The sequence below is a fragment of the Homo sapiens genome, chromosome 17 (genome assembly GCF_000001405.40).
Source record: "Homo sapiens chromosome 17, GRCh38.p14 Primary Assembly".
Lineage (NCBI taxonomy): Eukaryota > Metazoa > Chordata > Mammalia > Primates > Hominidae > Homo > Homo sapiens.
Window position 1 is genome coordinate 45754329 of NC_000017.11, and position 18953 is coordinate 45773281.

An 18953-nucleotide genomic window follows, 5' to 3' on the forward strand; every position below is an offset into this window, starting at 1 on the left:
TTCGGTTATTGAAAAACTTTTAGGCTGGGTGTGGTAGCCTAAAAGGTGGGAGGATTGCTTGAGGCCAGGAGTTTGAGACCAGCCTGGACAACATAGCATGATCTCATTCCTACAAAAAATAAAAAAATGAGCCAGGCATGGTGGTGCACGCATGTAGTCCCAGCTACTTGGGAGGCTGAGGTGGGAGGATCGCTTGAGACCAGGAGTTTGAGTCTGCAGTGAGCCATGATTTTGCCACTGCACTCTAGCCTGGGTGATAGAGCAAGAACCTGTCTCAAACAACAACAACAAAAACCCTTTTAAATATGTTTGGAACAACTTGGGTATGTGAACCTACCTTTTCGACTGTAAATTTAACAAAATCTAACTGCAGATCTAGCTTATCCAGTGAAATCCTTGTGTGTGAATTAGCGCCCCCATAGTTGCCATATGTATAAAAGAAAGCAAAAAAAAGAATAACATTCTCATTAATAATTTTTATTGATTACATGTTGAAACGATCATATTTAGGATCTATTGAGCTAATACAATAAGCAAAAATATATCTTAAAATTGATTTCATCTGTTTTCTGTTTACTTTTCAATGTGGCTACTGGAAAATTTAAAATTATATACACGGCTGGAGTTCTGTTTCTATCGGACAGCACTTCTTTAGAGCGTGGATCTGCACTCGATCAACAATTCAGCCCTGTGCTGTCCCTGGCTAACCCTTTCCCACCTCCGCCACTTCCTCAGGCTCAATCGCAGCTGCCTTGGGCTCATGTATGGCTGATACCTGGGTGCTGACCTTGGTATAACACACACATGTTTGCAAATACATGTGTGTATTTGTGTGTCATGTGCACGCCTGTCTCTATCCACATGCTCATGTGTACACATCTGCATCCAGACATTATCCTGTTCTCTGCGTGTGAGCACACTCGGGCCAGCCCTTGCTGGACCAGGTGTGCACAGGCAGCATCTGAATGGGAGCCGGGTGCCCATGGGGAGTTGACATGGGGACAGGGCCTCGGGCATAAAGCCTTGGGGCCAGTCATTCATCCCCAGGGGAGGCTGGAACAGACAGTGTTTCCTTGGCAAGTTGATGAGAATGTCATGTAGGACAGAACCCACAGCCGCCCTGAAATCAAGATCGATGACAGCTGCCTTCCCATCCCTTACTGATGAGGTCCATCATTCTATCACGGGAGAGAAAATTAAATTGGTCTGGCAGAGTTTCCTGTTCCTAAAGCCAATTTGGTCGCCACTGTGTAGTGTGTTATACACTTCTGGGTGGCATCTAATCATTTTGTTTATTCATAAATTTCCAAGGTATGGTCTGCAGAGCTAACCACACCACAGGAAATCAGGAGGAGGTACTTGCTCCTCTTCTAAAGATAGGAGGCAGCCTATCCATCCACCATCTGCCCAGCCACCCAGCCATGTATCCATTCATCCATTGGGTCATACAGTTTTTCAACCTGTATATACAGAGCGCCTCCTCCATGCTGGGCAGCGTGTCAAATAGAAAGAACCATGGGATGAGATTAGATTCCAGCACCCACCCCTGGGCAGGTCTCTGGCTTCTCCAGGCCTCAGTTTCTCTCTGTTAATGAGGGAGTTGGACCACAGAGCTCAAGGCCCCTCCTAGCTCTGGCACTTCAGGGCCTGGGGCTGATTTTCCAGGCAGAGAGAGAGGCCCCCTCCCAGACTCCAGGGGCTGCTTGGGGTCAAGAAGGGAACCGAAGAGGACCCCAGGACCATGGGCATCACTAACTCCCACGGCTGAGGTCCCGACTGACAGGAATGGGGTGGCCCTGGAATTTAGAGGAAAAGCTCCCTCGTGCCTCCTTCCCAGAACCCCAATTTGAGAGCAGATTTGAGTTGGCTCAAGTGGGTGTTTGTGGGATTGGTTATGTCTCAGAGATTTGGGGGATCAGGCCAATCAGCAGACTCTGAAATTCGTATTTTGGAGGCTGTGTCTTAGAGTCCCCCACCCTCCAGGGCCGGAGGGTCTCTGGAAGCTCTTTCTGGTTCCTCTCCATCTCCATGGCCAGCATCCGTGTTTGGGCAGTTCCCAGGCTCCCTGCCTTCTTATACCAATAAGCATTCACCACTTGTGGACTTGTCCCGCACTGCCTCCCCAGCCTGCCTGCCACCCTGGACCTGGCCTCATTTCTGGGTCTGCTTCTCCGTGTGCCCATACTGGCTGGGGAGCCCACTCCTGGGCTCTGGCCATCTCATTCAGCTGGCAATCCCAGGTCCCCAGGACCAATGAATTCCAGGCCCTCTCAGAAACCTTTTGCCACAAACCTGGTGATTGGTGGGGAGTAACGGAGCTGTGTTGATCTAGTTACCAAGAGCTCTAAATTACTACCATCAAAATCAGACACAGCAAAACCTTGCTCAGATCCCTGTCTGGTAACATCAGTCTTCATAATGAAGGTGCCTGATTGCAGGCTGTCTTGGCTGTCGGTGGGTGGAAGCAGAGGGACAGGGATGGGGAGAGGGGAGAGGCTTTGTTTCTGAGCTTCACGGCTTTGATCTGCCAGCGAAGAGCAATTTCCTCCGACTTCTCGTCCAACATTCAACCCCCTGCCAGCAAACCCACAAACACAACCCGGGAGGATGATGGCATGGAGAGCATCTCTGAATTCAGGGAAAGGATGGGAGGAAAAGAAGGTGTTGAGAGTGTCTACACTCACCTCCCCAAAAATCCCTCTCTCCACCTGACCTCCTCGCCTCTGTAATGTAGACCATGAATGGACTCTGTTTCAGTCCTGATATCTGCTGCATCCTCTGAGCCTAGCTCAGGGCCAGGCATAGAGTAGTTCCATACATATTGTTGAACAGATGGATTTCTAGCTCTAGGATCACTCTAAGAAGATTCCTGGGCCAGGTGCAGTGGCTCACACCTGTAATCCCAGCACTTTGGGAGGCCAAGGCGGGCAGATCACGAGGTCAGGAGATCGAGACCATCCTGGCTAAAACGGTAAAACCTGTCTCTACTAAAAATACAAAAAATTAGCCAGGCGTGGTGGCAGGTGCCTGTAGTCCCAGCTACTTGGGAGGCTGAGGCAGGTGAATGGCGTGAACCCAGGAGGTGGAGCTTGCAGTGAGCCGAGATTGTGCCACTGTACTCCAGCCTGGGCAACAGAGCAAGACTCAGTCTCAAAAAAAAAAAAAAAAAGAAAAGAAAGAGAAGATTCCTGGTAGTGATCCAATGCAGGAATGGCTGATGGTATCATTTCTTCATTTAATAAACATTTCTTAGGCAGCTCTTAGGTTCCTGGCACCGTGCCAGGCCAAGGACTGAGATGACTAGAAAATCAAATTGTTCAATAGGAGGCATCGAGCTCCTGCTCCACACCAGGCACTGAGATGAACAGGACAGATATTCCTACCTCCATAGAGCTCACACGTTCCTCTCCATGGGAGACAGACAATAAGCAGGTAAATAGATAAATAAGCAAGATGGTTCTGGATTGTGAAGGTGCTATGAAGGAAATACACAGGGTGCTGTGATGAAGAGCAGTTGGGCAGCTTCCTTTGGACAGGGGCAATGCAGGGAGGGCTCTCTAGGACCTGAAGAGTAAAGAGAAAGAGCCAGGAACCAGGAGAGAGCACAGCAAGTGCAAAGGCCCCAGGGCCGGGAACAGCTCCGTAGGTTTGAGGAATGGAAAGGAGGCCAGTGAAGCAGGTGTATAAGATCGAGCGTGAAGCGGTGCTAGCGGAGGTTGGTTAAGTCACTGTCCTCCAGTGGTGATGGCAGACCAGGGAACTATCAGAGCAGAAAGGCCAGTGCTGCCGTGGAAGTGGAATGTGCAGGGAAGCCCGGAACTCAGCCCAGAGGAGGCAACATTGGCGCTGAGACCTAAGACTGCGTGGAATATCTCTTAGGCCCAGCATGGCTTTCCTTCTTGCCATCACTTTGGACATTGCTCCAGGGACTGACTTCCTCTCCCTCCCAGCCAGGAGCAGGGCTCTGGGGCAGTGCCAGCTGGACCCTGCTCCAGCCCAGAGGGACTCCTCCATACGACTTCCCTGCGCTGAAGTTTCTGTCAACCTCTGCTGCTGCTGCAGACAGCTACTGGTTGGCGGTGGCTGGAGTACTCAGGGTAAGCGCTTGTGGCAGATGTTGCTGCGGTGGGGTAATGGCACTAACACGGCGAGTCCCTTTCTTTCATCTCCCTGGTCTCCCTGGACCTTTAACTATCACTGAGCCCAGCATCTAGCAAATAGCCTCATTGCTGTCTTTTATCTAGCTGGCTTTCAACTTGAGACACTCTAAGGGCCTTGCCTGATAGCAGCACCAGGACCATCAGAACTACAGTCCTCAGAGTGGGCTGTTCCAGGCGTTTGAGTAATAATAATAATTATTATTATTGCTATAATAATATATACAATTATAATATCTATATATAATATTTACATAAATTATTGATATGATAATTATTGATGTAATAATTATTGATATTTTTGATGTAATAATTATTGATGTAATTACTGATATTAATGTTGGTGTAATAATAATTATTATTGATATAATAACTGCAACATCAGCTCCCTATTTATTAGGGTCTGGGCATGCCAGACACTGTGCTAAAAAGTTTCTATGCATCATTTTATGTAATTCTCACTACCACATTATAAGGCAGGTATTGGTATGAGGCTCGGAGAGGTTAAGTAACTTGGCCAAGGTTTCACAGCAAACAAGTGCTGGAATTGACGTTAGAGCTAGGGCTGTTCAGGTCCACAGACTCCTTCCTCCGTATTCTAGTGGTTCCCGGTGTCGGGCTGACTGCAGTGGAATCAGCAGGGGAACTGTTTGGAAAGTAAGATTTCCATCCTGGCTAACACGGTGAAACCCCGTCTCTACTAAAAATACAAAAAAATAGCTGGGTGTGGTGGCACCCGCCTGTAATCCCAGCTACTAGGGAGGCTGAGGCAGGAGAATCGCTTGAACCCAGGAGGAGGAGGTTACGGTGAGCCAAGACCACGCCACTGCACTCCAGCCTGGGTGACAGAGCAAGACTCTGTCTCAAAAAACAAACAAACAAAAACAACAAAAATTGGTTGGGGGTGGTGGCTTGTGCCTATAGTCCCAGCTACTTGGGAGGCTGAGGTGGAGGGATTGCTTGAGCCTAGGAGGTCAAGGCTGCAGCCTGGGCAGTGGAGTAAGACCCTATTTCAAAAAAATACAAAGCGTTCTGGAGGTGGTTGCACAACAATGCGAATGTACTTGATGCTACTGAACTATACGCTTGAAAATGGTTAAGATGGTGAATTGTGTGTTATCCTAATAAATTTTTAAAAATTGTTTAAAAAGGAAGAGGAAAACTAAGTGTTAAATTGTGTGGGGATGGTAGACATTGGTAGTTCCCCAGTATTCATTCTCCCCCCTTTTTATTTACTTATTTTTAGAGATTGCTATGTTACCCAGGCTGATCTCAAACTCCTGGCCTCAAGCAATCCTCCTGCCTCAGCCCCGAAGTAGCTGGGATTGCAGGCATGAGCCACTGTACCCAGCTTTCCCCTTTTAGCTGAGTACATGGCTGCCCAGATTAGACACTACATTTCCCAACATCCTTTGCAGGTAGGTATGGCCATATGGCTAAGTTCTGACCAATGGCTATAAGTGGTAAGGTCCTGTGAAAGCCTCCAGAACCTTCCTTAAGCGACAGTGTCTGTCTATTCCTCCATTGGCTGCCAGGAGCATGGGTGCTGCCATTTTGGATCATGAAGTTGGAGTCACACTTGGCAGAGCAATAACATGTGAGATCCTAAAGTTGACACACCCTATTATCTCTTAATTACCTGCTGGGACGCATGAAAGAGAAACAAACTGTGATCTCCTTCAAGCCACACTATTTTGATTTTCTATTATGTGTACCTAAACATAATCCTAATGAATACAGAGGGGTAGAATGAATGCTACTGGGGTTTCGAGAAACAGAAAGGACCAGGAGGGTTGGAACATTCAAAGAAGGCTGTATGGCTAAGGTTGGCCCTGAGCTGTCCTGATGGATGCTGTGCTGCAAGATGAATGAGGCATGGCCCATGTCTTTGAGGGGCTCAGGGTCTAGTGGGAGAAACACAGGTAGACAAATATCTATAGCCAGGGCCATTGCAATTAGCTGACATATGGGCAGCCCTTGGCATCCACCAGGCTGATTACATGGCTCATATTTATTTTTATGTTACGTTACGTTACGTTACGTTACGTTACGTTACGTTATGTTATGTCATGTTATTTTTTGAGATGGAGTCTCACTCTGTCACCCAGGCTGGAGTACAGTGGCGCGATCTCTGCTCACTGCAAGCTCCGCCTCCAAGGTTCAAGCAGTTCTCCTGCCTCAGCCTCGCGAGTAGCTGGGACTACAGGAGCCCGCTACCACACCCAGCTAATTTTCTTTATATTTTTAGTAGAGACGGGACTTCACCATGTTAGCCAGATGGTCTCGATCTCCTGACCTCGTGATCTGCCCACCTCAGCCTCCCAAAGTGCTGGGATTACAGGTGTGAGCCACTGTGCCCAGCCTTTATTTTTATTTTTTTGTGACGGAGTTTCACTCTTGTTGCCCAGGCTGGAGTGCAATGGCGCAATCTTGGCTCACTACAACCTCCGTCTCCTGGATTCAAGCAATTCTCCTGCCTCAGCCTCCCAAGTAGCTGGGATTTCAGGCATGTGCCACCACACCCAGCTAATTTTGTATTTTTAGTAGAGATGGGGTTTCCCCATGTTGGTCAGGCTGGTCTCGAACTCCAGACCTCAGGTGATCCGTCTGCCTGGGCCTCCCAAAGTGCTGGGATTACAAGTGTGAGCCACCGCACCAGCTCATGCCTCAGCCACATCACTGGCAGAGTGTCAAGGGACGCAACAGGAAATTCATGCTAAGTTGTCGAGTTCTGGAAAGCTCTGTGCAGGAAGTGATGTTTTTCTGAGCCTTGAAGAAGGCATGATGGGGAGGGGCATTCCAGGGCAGAGGCACACAAGAGGCAACGGCGTGAGGGTAGTCTGGTGAGGCTGGGCCGGTGGTGGCTCACGCCTATAATCTCAGCACTTTGGGAGGCCAAGGCGGGTGGATCACCTGAGGCCGGGAGTTCGAGACCAGCCTGGACAACATGGCAAAACCCCATCTCTACTAAAAATACAAAAATTAGCCAGGCATGGTAGCATGCACTTGTAGTCCCACCTACTCAGGAGGCTGAGGCAGGAGAATCACTTGAACCCAGGAGGCGGACGTTGCAGTGAGCCGAGATTACACCACTGCACTTCAGCCTCGGTGACAGAGCGAGACTCTGTCTCAAAAAGAAAAAGTGTGGTGCGAGAGACCTGGCAAAGCAGAACAGTCCATCCCTGCACAAGCGGTTTGGGCCTTGTTTACAGGAAGCCATCACACGGACCTGAGAGTGTTCTTGATTAAAAGGAGACTATACCTGGGATGATGGATCTTTCAGATACATGATTATTTAATTTTTTTTTTTAAAGGCCAAATTCTTCCTGGGAAGAAAGAATCAGCAAGGTGCAGAGGAGGCAGGTGAGGTCCTGCCTAGATCGTTAGAAGTCAATGGCTCCGTCGGCATGGCAGGGGAGAGGTCTGCAAAAAGGCCTTTAAAAAAGAAAAATTGCAAATGGTTTGCAAATGTTTATGGATAGGTCCAGAACCATGAATTTTGACAACTAAAGGATTTCCAGAGAGGCTGAGGGAAAAGCCAGAATTGAGTTAAGCAGAGATTTATAACAGTTTTTATTGGATGGAAGGTCCCCATCTGTACTCAGAGATCTGGGTTACATTAAATATCACTTCCAATGAGATCTTGTCTTAAATTTAATGGGCAAAAGAGAGGAGTTAGATAAGTGTTTGTATCATTATTTTAACAAGTCTCTGCTTTATGAGAAAAAAAAATCTGTTTAAGAATAGCAGTGGGTAAATTGTCACAGTTCAGTTACCTGTTCCTGAAGAATCGACTCTCCCCTGGCTCAGGCTCTGTGGTGGTAGCTACTTGATTTACAGACAGGTGGCCAGAGAGAAACTAGCCAGCCCCTCTAGGGCACTGTCCCACCTTGCCAATTCCACCCCTGTTTCCAGAACAGAACATGGGTAGGATGAGGACCAGTGCGAAGGAGAGGGAGGAGGCACGTGTGAGTGAGGGGGCATCTGACTGGGGAGAAGGGCTGTTCTGCAAAGTGGTGGGTATCAACGGCCTTTCATCCTCCTCCCTTGCCCCTGGGGGAGACTTAGATTCTGCAAAATGCTTTTTTCTTTTTTTTTTAAATTAAACTGTTATCACAACTTCCTATGGAGTAGGCAAAGGCATCCACAAAGTGTTATTATCCCGGTTTGAAAGAAAGGTAAGCATCAGACAGGTGATGTGGCTTCCCCAGGTCTAATAGCTGCCAGGCAGTGAAGGAAAGGCCCCAGCACCAGGCAGGGGAAGGTGGGTAACCCAAGGGAAGCCTGGAGTCCATGCAGACGTCCCAGCAGAGGCATGGCCGAGGGAAGAAGCCTCTGCTCCCACTCAGGGGGGCTCATGGGAGCGAAGAAGTGGCAGAGACTGAAGTCTGAAGACCTCCGCTCTGCCTTTCTGGCCCCTGTGTCTTTTTCATGCCTGCTCACCCACCCACAGTGCCCTCCTCCCCCCGGGGGGAGGGGCCGCCCCTTCCTCCCAGGGGCTGTGCCCAATACTAAACAATTTCTGCCCAGGTTCCTGTCTCCACAGGCATCCATTGTCATTATTCTTTTTTTAAAAAAATCGGAATGGATTTTATTAAGAGAAAATCAATACACACAACATAACCTGCAGCAGATAAAGCAGATAAGCTTTCAATGCACAGTCTCGGTGCCTTTTCCCAGGTGTTCCTTCCACTCCCTTAGCCAGAAGCCTTTGTCCGTGGGCATCTGATGAGCCACTTCTGGGAAGCCAGCCTCCCTGCTCCTCTTACCAGCAGCTTTGTTCAGCAGCCCCTTCCCACCTCCCGTCTCGGCTCTGTGCTCCATCCTGGCGGCTAGCCCCAGACCCAGCCAGACCAGCCGCCTGTAGACTCACTCGTCTTTGGCCTCAGGTCAAGGGCCTCCCCAGCAGGCCAGCCCATTGCCGCCTCCCTCCATCACTACATCAGTGTCACTCCTCCAAGAAGCAGGCACTTTGGGGTCAATAGCCTCTGGTCTCCATTCATTCCTGTGTGGCCTTGGACCCATTGCATAACCTCTCTGAGCCTCAGGTTCCTCATAGGTAATAATCTAGACAATAACACTCTTTTCCCTGCATTTTGGGACCAAGGAAATTACCTGGTATACGCAGCAGGCCTAATCTGTGCTCGGCACATAGTAAGCACATGGTGGTGTTTAACTTCCTTCTCGGGGTCCACCTGTGTCCCTGCTCCTTCATTCCATCTTTCTGAGCACTGAATTGCCAGAAGGCTTATCCTCAGAACAGAGCAGCCTACCCCTGTCTGCTCTCCTTGGTGTACCAAGTGCAGTGGGCATCAAGCTCCCCATGAAAGTCCTTGTGCCGAGTCCCCTTAGGAGGGACAGAGCTGGAATTTGGATGTAATGAGCACTCAGAGCATGCCAATGAGAGACAGGGACCAGAAAGTTAGAGAAGGTGAGGGGGAGAAGGAATGAATAAAGGGAGAAGAAAGAAAGAAATCATGGGGGCAGGAAGGAAAGGAAAAAATCTTTTTTTTTTTTTTCTTTTAAGAGACAAGGTCTCACTATGTTGCCCAGGCTGGTCTCCAACTCCTGGGCTCAAGTGATCCTCCCACCTTGGCCTCCCAAAGTGTTAGGATTACAGGCGTGAGCCACCACGCCTGGCCGGAAGGAATCTTTCATTAGCAACAGACATCTTGTTAATTATACAGTGACTGGTACAGAGGAGGGACTCAAGGCCCTTTGTAGTAACAGATGATGGATGGATGGATGGATGGATGGATGGATGGATGGATGGATGGATGGGTATATGGCTAAATGGAGGGAAAGAAGACAGGGAGGAAAGGAAGGAAGAGGGAAGAGGGAGGGAGGGAGAAAAGGTGGAGGTAGTCTGTGTTCTCCTGGTCTGGGCTCCTCTTCCTGTCCAGCTCTGCTCTGCCTTGAGGGGAGATGGGGCTTCCAGGTAAGAGCCGCTCTGAGGAGTCCTGCAGCAAGGACACCTATTTGATTTTGACTCACTGCTTCCCAAACCTCTACCATCATGTAACTTTTTCTTTTTTTAATTAAGAGCACTTACTTTGCATCCTGAAGATACTAAAGTTTTGTACAGTGCAGTTTAAAAATGTTGCTGTGGACTAGAGAATAGAATATTCACACTGGAAGATTGAAGGGGTCATTGAGGTCTCTCTTGAAAACTCCTACTCACCCTTTGAAGCCCACTTCAAATGCCCTTGGCACTGAGTGGTGTTTCCCTACTTTTCCCCCAGGGAGAATTAACTAGTATCTTTATCTGTGCCTCCATGACCCTTATACACCACTTTATTCTGTTTCCTTCACATGGAGTTGGCTGGTTGTGCCCATCCCTGCCAGACAGAAAACTCTTTGAGGGCAGGAATTATGTGCTGCTCAACTGTTTCCCTAGCATCTGGCATGTAATAGGTCCTCAAAACACATTTATCAGCTGAATTAGTCCAAGATCTTTATTTTATAAAGAAGTAAACTAAGACCTAGGCAGCCACCAGGCCTGGCCCCAGGGTTCACCAGCGAAGCTTGGCAGTGGTGTGTGCCAGCCTAGGTTCCAGCTCCCTGACCCTGAGCTGGCTGCCACAATTGCTGGGTTTTCTCTCAGCATTTCTGTTAACAGTCGAGTAAAGAAAGGACTCAGGTAGGGATAAACTGTAGCTAATACCTCACCTTGGTTAAGCAGATGTCAGGGTGGCCATTTCTGTTCCTACATTAACACCACATTTATGTTACTGGCAGCTGCAGGTTTGCTTTAAGGGCTAATAGGCCCTAACTAGGGTCCTGCCCTGAGCCTAGTTGCATAGAGGATTGTGCTTTCTCTTATTCTTCTGTGTCTCTGACTGCTAGTGCCCTAGTGAGGACAGTAGCCCTCAGTTCAATAAGCGGACTGCTAGTGCCCTAGTGAGGGCAGTAGCCCTCAGTTAAATAAGCTGACTGCTAGTTCCCTAGTGAGGACAGTAGCCCTCAGTTAAATAAGGTAGGTGGAGGGATAGCATCTTGAAGATGAGAGGAGGCCACAGAGAACCTAGTCAGCAAGGAGGCCAGGGCTGACCCCTAAAGGACCCACTTCTCCCAAGTCTTCCTCATGGGCCTTGGGGAGGGGGAGCCTGGAGCTCTGAACCAACCTGGTGGGGACAGGGTGGGGAAAGCAGATGTAGGGAGCTGGAAGAGGGTCCTGGGGCCCCGAGGGCCAACACCACCCCTAGACCTGCTTCTGCCCACCTGCAGAGCCTTCGCCCCAGCCTGGGTTGGTTCCTAGCATCTATGTCTGTGCCCCCAGTGAGTGTGGCCTTGTCTCTACATGGAGTTCACATGCAGGGTGTGGCTTCTGGGGGACAAGGGCGGAATCTTATGTTCGATCGGTTAAACAATTCTGGAGGGGGCATGTTTTGTGTGATGCCTGGAGGGTGGGTGGTGACGGGCACAAAGGTTGTGCCACAGGTAGTTTCCTTTTAGGGCGTTTAGGGTCTTGTGACCCTAGATGTGCCTCTCTACCTTCCCCAGGGCTTAGCAGCTAGGAGGGACCCTGCAGGGGCAGAGTGATCGGTGCCAGCCTGGGGCGGGGCTGTGGGGTGGGCAGCCCCCTTCACAGGCTGTCCATGCACTGGGGTGAGATGGGGCCCAGGGAGGGGTGTGGGGGGAAGGATGATCAGATTTTCCCAATGTGAAGGTGTGGGGCAACAGGGATCCCTATGTTTCTAGAGGAGGGGATGGCAGATGTCACCAGTGCCCTACCCTCGTGCCCTCCACTGGGATGACTCTGAGCTGGGGGTCCCACATGCCTCCCTGAGCTCCTCAATGGGATTAAGGTCCAGTCATCAGGCTTTCCTCCCTCCCCTGCCCGCCTTCCCCACCTCCCTACTGGGACCTCCTGGGATTACCTCCCAAATAAACAACCTGCCCTTGAATCTTTTTCACAGGTCCTGCTTCTGGGGAAACTCAAGACAGTATAAATTGGTGCAATCTATTTGGAGAAAGATTCAGCAATAAGTATCAAAATTATAAATGTACGTGTTCACGGGCCAGCAGCTCCACTTCTGGGAATTTATGCCATAAATATAACCTTTCATATGCCATATGATCTATGAATGAGGTTATTTATGGCAGCACTACTTTTAAGAGCCAAAGATTGAAAACACCTAAATGCCCATCGCTGGGGATGAGTTCGGCAGATCAGGGTTCATTCAACTGGCAGAATATTATGCAATCATTAAAAAGGAATGGAGGGGGCTACTCTTTATGGACTGATTTGGAACAATCTCCAAGATAAATTGCTAAGTGGGAAAAAAAGCAAGGTATAGAAGAGCACGTTTGTATAAAACAAAAAGAATATATAGCCGTAATTGCTTACTTATTGGATCGACGATCTCTGCAAATCTACCAAGAAACTGATAACCTTGGAGCCTGTGGAGAGAGGAATTAGGTGGCTGGGAGTGGGGAAGGGAGGGAGATTTTCAGGATATTTCCTATGCACCTTTTGATTTTTGCATCATGTGCAAGTTTGCATTATCTATTTAAAATGTAGTCTATGCAACTAAAAAAAATTATGAAGAATAATCATATACCTGGGTGCCTGCTATAATGATCAGTCCAATTTTAGCTTGTCTCGGGAAAGTTGAACCCATGGCTGGCAGCTTTCAACCTTCTCTTTCTCATTTACCACTCCCATAAGGTGGTTCTGCATCATTACTCCAGGGTTTCTAAATAATTAAAGTAGGCCTGAGTCCAGCCTTCCCCCAAGATGCTGAGAGTCCAAGCCGTCCTTCCCCTATCCCCTACCTGAGACATCAGAAGCTTCTTAAATAGTCCTGACTATTTAAGGGAAGAAGGACAGTTGCAGCCCTTCCTTTCTCGAGTGATTTGAAATGCAGACCACGGTTTTTGGAGAGGAGGAGATGAGGCAGGAGGCTGGAAGAAATGACCTTTTCACATCAGCTCTTCCTGGGTGGGTACCTATATTCCAGGGGCCTGGCGCAGTACCTGGCGCGTTTGTTGGCTGGCTGGCTGAATGTCTTTTTGTCCCAGAATTCCAGGCATGCAGGAACAAGGGGAAAGATGACCCCTCCTTCCAGTTCCTGGGGTCCTAGTCAATAATGGTTGGTGAGCAGAGCTCTGAAGTTGGACACTTTCGGGTAAAAATCCCAGCTGTAGCCTCCTTACTGCTATGAGACCTTAGGTGAATATCTACCCGAGCCTCAGTTTCCTCATCTACGCAATGGAGACAGAGGCCCCCTTTGCAAAGGATTAAATAAGGTTGCATCGGGGTGCTGCACAGTGTGCCCAGCACATAGTAGGCTTTGCTAGGTGTCTGCATATCTCTCCCCCTCCCTTGGCAGAAGGATGACCACTGCCACTGCTGAGACCAGACACTGTCCCCTCCTTGCCACCCTTGACTTGAGGGTGGAAGGAGGACCACCCTCAAGTCAAGGAGGTCCTCCTTCCATCTAACTGAAAACTCTCCGCTGTTACCCAGGCCGGTGCCCTCCTATGCTACTGTCATGCACAAGAGAAAAAGCTCTCAGCTTGTTCCCACTGAGCCTCTTCCAGATCTGAAGCCCCAAGGAAAGTCAAGGTTGAGTCCTGTGGGCCCAACAATGGGCAGCCCCAGGCCCTCTCTCTTTGCTTCCAATCCAGTCTCATCACTTTTCTCCTCTCTGCCCCCTCCTGGGCAGAGCGACTCTTGGTGCAAGGTCAGCTGTGAGCTGTCCAGGGTCCCTGGGCACACTCCTGCTCCTTCTCTGCCCCATTTCCTTCCCCTGCACCCAGGGAGTTGGGAAATAGCTCAGATTCCGATGACAAGGAGACTGGGCCCTAGGCAGAGCAGTGGCTGACAAGTTGCATGTTACAATAAATCCCCACAATTAGACCCTGCAAACAACACCGCTGCTGTCGCATCCCTAATATACAGCAGGGAGTCGGCTCAGTGTTCCTGGCAACCAATTCTTGAACTAAAAATAGTTGGCTGTGGCTTCACCTTTCCCTCCTCAGCATCCAGTCTCCATAGGTGCCAGGGAGGGAATGACCCTGGTGTCCAGGTCCTGCCCTGGTGCTGGAGGGCAGAGCATCAAGGGTTAACCCAGCCTTCACTAATGTGACTGTCAAGGAATTGCCCGCAGGGTAGGGAGTGGGGGTCTTCTGTGGGGGACGGGAGCCGGCCTGAGCTGTTTTAAAGCAAGTAAGGCTTTTTGAGTAGGCAGCCACCTCCTGAGGCCTCCCAATACCACCTCTTCAGCACCCTCTCGCATCCCCACCCGTCCAGCAGCAGCACAAAGGGGCCCGAAGGTGCAGCATTAGGGAATCTAATGGCCTGAGGAATAAGTTCTCGCCCACTGTGACTCCTTGGGCCAGTCACATCTCTGGATTTCGGCTGCCTCATCTGCAAACGAAGGATTCAATAAGTTGATCTGTTTCTGTCTAGATCCTCAGGCATGGTGAGCCTCACAATGGCAAGTACTCTGTCCCAAGTATGCTCACATGCGTCAAAGTCTCTGAAATGCTGACACGTGGGTGTGCAACCCCCCTCGCAGAGCAGTGGTCAGCACGTACAGAGAAGCAGCCCAGCCCTATGTCAGACCCTCTGCCTTAGAACCACTTGCCAATAATAAATCACCCACCACCCCTATGAAACAGGTGGTTCATGAAGTCTTGTCAATCAGTCATACCTTAGTCTAGAAGTCCTTTCCTGGGAGACAGGGGGAAGCATGGAGTCTGGGGTTCCTCCTGGGGCTGTTGGGATATCAAAAGCCTTACCTGGCTTCCCACCATCCCTGTGGAAATCCCCCAAGTGGAAGCCATGGGCCGCCACAAGACGTGGCCCCAGCCCAGCTTTCCAATCTCAGAACGTCATCCCCTGTCCTGGGGTCCTAGGACTCCTCGCTGTTCCCCAAACAGACGGAGCACAGTCCCACCTCCCGGCCTTTGCTCACAATGGTGCCTCCACCTGGAATGCTGTTGCCCCTTCTCCCCTCTGTCTCTCTCCCCTCTGTCCCCTACATTTCTATGTTGGTAGAAATCCTGCTCATCTTTTAAAGTACAAATGGACCGGGTGCAGTGGCTCACACCTGTAATCTCAGCACTCTGGGAGGCCGAGGCAGGCGGATCGCAAGGTCAGGAGATTGAGACCATCCTGGCTAACACGGTGAAACCCCATTTCTACTAAAAATACAAAAAATTAGCCAGGTGTGGTGGCGGGTGCCTGTAGTCCCAGCTACTCCGGAGGCTGAGGCAGGAGAATGGCGTGAACCCGGTAGGTGGAGCTTGCAGTGAGCCGAGATGGCGCCACTGCCCTCCAGCCTGGGCGACAGAGCGAGACTCCGTCTCAAAAAAAAAAAAAAGAAAAAAGAAAAAAAAGAAAGTACAAGTGCCACCAACTCTTTGATGAAGTTTTCCCTATCCCGTGGCTAGAATGAGCCCCTCAGTGTCCCTCTTCTAACAGCATTTGAAACGATGTAGTTTTGGAACCAGAAGAATCTTAGGGACCATGTACAACAGCGTTTCCCAAGATATTTTGACTGTGACTCATCGTAAGAAATCCACTCTGTTGTGACCCAGCACACACACACACACACACAGAGACACACAAGTGCATAAAACACATGTGCATATACATATAGTCCACACTCAACCATAGACACAAATAGACACACGTACACATACATGCAGGTACCTGTGGAAACATGTACAAGAGATGTGCAGCCAAAAGAAGTTTTTTTGTTTCTTTTTGTTTGTTTGTTTGTTTGTTTGTTTGTTTGTTTTTGAGACAGGGCCTCACTCTGTCACCCAGGCTGGAGTGCAGTGGCACAATCTCAACTCACTGCAGCCTCAATCTCCTGAGCTCAAGCGATCCTCCTGCTTGAGCTCTCAAGTAGCTCGGACTACAGGCATGCACCATCATGACTGGCTAATTTTTATATTTTTGCAGAGATGGGATTTCACAACATTACCCAGGCTGGTCTTGAACTCCTGAGCTCAAGCGATCTGCCCACCTCGACCTTCCAAACTGCTCTGGGGTTGCAGGTGTGAGCCACCGTGTCAGCCCAATAAGTTTCTTTGTGTAATACTTACCTCTATTGTGTGCCGTGTTCTGATGCAGTTGCTTAAAGTTTTTTTCTTTCTTCGAATGTTGGTTCTGACACTAAATTTATCTCCCCATCCTGTAATGGGTTGCAAACTGCAGTTTGGAAAATACTGAACAAGTTCGACCCCTTATTTGCAGATAGAAGTACCAAGGTCCAGAGGGAGGAAGGGACTGGATCAAGGTCATGCAGCCAGTTGGTGGCCAGACTCGGACCACAGTCCAGTGTCCTTGATTCACAGCAGCGACCTTTCCTCTGTCACAGAGCCGCTGATGCTATAGCTATTCCTGCAAGGTTGCAGCTCCACAAGTGAAAGGACCTTGTCCCCAGCACCCCCCACCCTGCCCCAAGGGCCTTGTCTATAGTAGGTGCCCAATAAACGGCTCCATTGGACTGACTGCACAATGATGCAAAAGTGGTTTGGAAGTCAATGAGGTCTCTGCTGGAGTGAGGGGTTAATACATTCAGCTGCTGCGGCCTGGAGACAAGGTCAGCTTTAGCTCATTAGTGGGGCTGGGCTTTCCCAGGGCTTAGGGATTCTGCAATTCACAGTGGAGCAGAAATCCTGCGGCTGAGCTGAGGGGGAGGGGCAGAGACAGGGAGGAAGGGAGGCTGGAAGAGAGGTGGAGATCGATCAGCAGGGAGGGGACGTTTTGGGGAAGGAAGGTGGTCAGGGTGGCTGTGATGGTGACAGCGGGTGGCAGGATATGACGGGATATGAGGGGGTCTGCAGCTCATTGAAAATCTGAACAAGCTCCAAAGAGGATGGAACTCAGTCTCCCCCCAGCTCCTCCTGTCTTCCTCTGAGAAGTGGCAGGGGAGGTTGGCGAGGCAATGTGCTGATGAGCACAGAGAAATGAGGGGCGGCGGAGATGCAGAAATGAGTAATTTCCACACAGCTCTGCTTAATATCAGAGTCTGCGCTGCTCAGAGATGGCCAAGGAGCCACTTGAGGCCTCTACAGCCCCCTCCTTCCTGCGACACTCCCCCCTTCCACCCATCAGAGCTCAGGACACTCATCTGTTAATGAGACGGGCAGCTGGTTCCCCACACCCATCCTCGGATGGAGCTGGCAGGCACGGACTCCTCAGGGGCTGGGGGTGCTAAGCCATCCCCTGTGGCCGCCCCTCTGCTTCCCAATGAGGGGTGTGATTGGCACAGATCACAGAGAAAGGAGACAAGCAGGGTAGCCTGGCAGGAGCAGAGTCCTGGCCATTGGTTTACTCATTCATTTGGTGAGTATCCATTAAGCTCCTGCTGTGTGCCGGGCCCAGTGTGAGGTGTGCAGGAGTGTAGCTGTGAACAAGACTGTTGAGAATGTAGCAGAGAAAACGGGCTTTAGACCTTGCTTTGAGCAAGGGAGAGGCCCACAGGAGGCACTGGTGAAGGCTTCCTAGAGGGGGTGAGGTTTAAGGCAAAATTTCCAAAGAAGTTGAGGAGTCTGGAGTCCAGGTGAGGAGTTGAGATGGGACGGGTGGCTGAGGAGGCCTCTCATATATGTGGTTTGGTGGGGCCTCCTCAGCCCCGTGTCTGGGCCTCAGCTTTGCAGCATGGGGAGCTCTGTTGTTTCAGTCGCCTTTAATGGGAATTCGACTCACAATAAACACACCTTCCAAAGACTGAGTCGTACATCAAAATGTCAATTCATTTTTTTTTAATGGAAATATATTTGACAAGCTAAACCTTATCAGCAGCCTGCTTCAGGATCAGAAATCCAGAGTGTGAGCCTCCATGCCACATCACACCAACTAGGAAACTCTGGGCAAACCTTTCATCTTCTATGAGCTTCAGTTTCCTCATCTGAAAATAGGGTTAATCATAGGACTTACCTAGGGGCATGAGGAGGATAAAGTGAGCTATTATGTGTCAAAGTGCTTCATCTCTATAGAAGGACTATACACAAGCTGGTGAGTTCATAAATTTGCATTTATTTATTTATTTATTTTTATTTATTTACCATTTTGAGACAGAGTCTCACTCCGTCACCCAGGCTGGAGTGCAGTGGCATGATCTTGGCTCACTGCAGCCTTGATCTCTCAGGCTCAAGCAATCCTCTGACCTCAGCCTCCCAAGTAGCTGGGACCACAGATGTGCACCCCCATGACTGGATACTTTTTTTTTTTTTAAGACAGAGTCTTACCATATTGCCCAGGCTGGTCTGAAACTCCTGTGTTCAAGTGATCTGCCCGCCTCAGCTTCCCAAAGTGCTGGGACTACAGGCATGAGCCACCACGCCCAGCCTACATTTATTTTCTTGGTAGATGATGAATGTGCATGGTACAAATTCCAAAGGTACCAAAGGACATAAGTTGACCAGTGAGTCTCCTCCCTGGTCCTCACCCTGCCTCAATCATTAGCTACCCAGTTCCCCTCTTTGGAAGCAACCCAAATTATCAGTCTTTGTGTATAACTTTTTTTCTAAAAAGACTCTTTCATATTACAATAATAACGTGTGGTATAAAAAAAATCCAAAGGGAATAAAATGAACACCTTTTATTCCTTCCAGGCTCCCACCCCAGAGGTAACTGTGGGGCAGTCTCTCGTTTAAAGGATAACTATTATTGCTAGTCCTGGATGTACCTCTCAGGGGCAGCCTACTCAGGAGACCAGGTTATAAATGAGAACATGCTGGATTTGCCAGGAAATGGGAAGAAATGATGTCAGGTTCCCAGGGGATATTTTTATCAACTTAGTGAGAGGTGAAGCCAGCTGGACTTCCCAA

The 18953-nt window shown here is 49.5% G+C and overlaps 1 protein-coding gene across 2 annotated transcripts in view, besides 3 other annotated features; it reads left to right on the forward strand.

The window, feature by feature from the left end:
* Window positions 1-18953, forward strand: part of LINC02210-CRHR1 (LINC02210-CRHR1 readthrough) — a 215483-nt gene that overhangs the window by 133983 nt on the left and 62547 nt on the right. The window lies entirely within an intron of this gene.
* Window positions 3448-3948: an enhancer, noted in NCBI's record as "H3K4me1 hESC enhancer chr17:43835142-43835642 (GRCh37/hg19 assembly coordinates)". NCBI's record gives its function as "activates a minimal SCP1, AML or CMV promoter by ChIP-STARR-seq in primed H9 embryonic stem cells {active_cell/tissue: H9 hESC(primed)}" and the evidence as "EXISTENCE:reporter gene assay evidence [ECO:0000049][PMID:30033119]".
* Window positions 8466-8966: an enhancer, noted in NCBI's record as "H3K4me1 hESC enhancer chr17:43840160-43840660 (GRCh37/hg19 assembly coordinates)". NCBI's record gives its function as "activates a minimal SCP1, AML or CMV promoter by ChIP-STARR-seq in primed H9 embryonic stem cells {active_cell/tissue: H9 hESC(primed)}" and the evidence as "EXISTENCE:reporter gene assay evidence [ECO:0000049][PMID:30033119]".
* Window positions 17271-17879: an enhancer, noted in NCBI's record as "OCT4-NANOG-H3K4me1 hESC enhancer chr17:43848965-43849573 (GRCh37/hg19 assembly coordinates)". NCBI's record gives its function as "activates a minimal SCP1, AML or CMV promoter by ChIP-STARR-seq in naive H9 embryonic stem cells {active_cell/tissue: H9 hESC(naive)}" and the evidence as "EXISTENCE:reporter gene assay evidence [ECO:0000049][PMID:30033119]".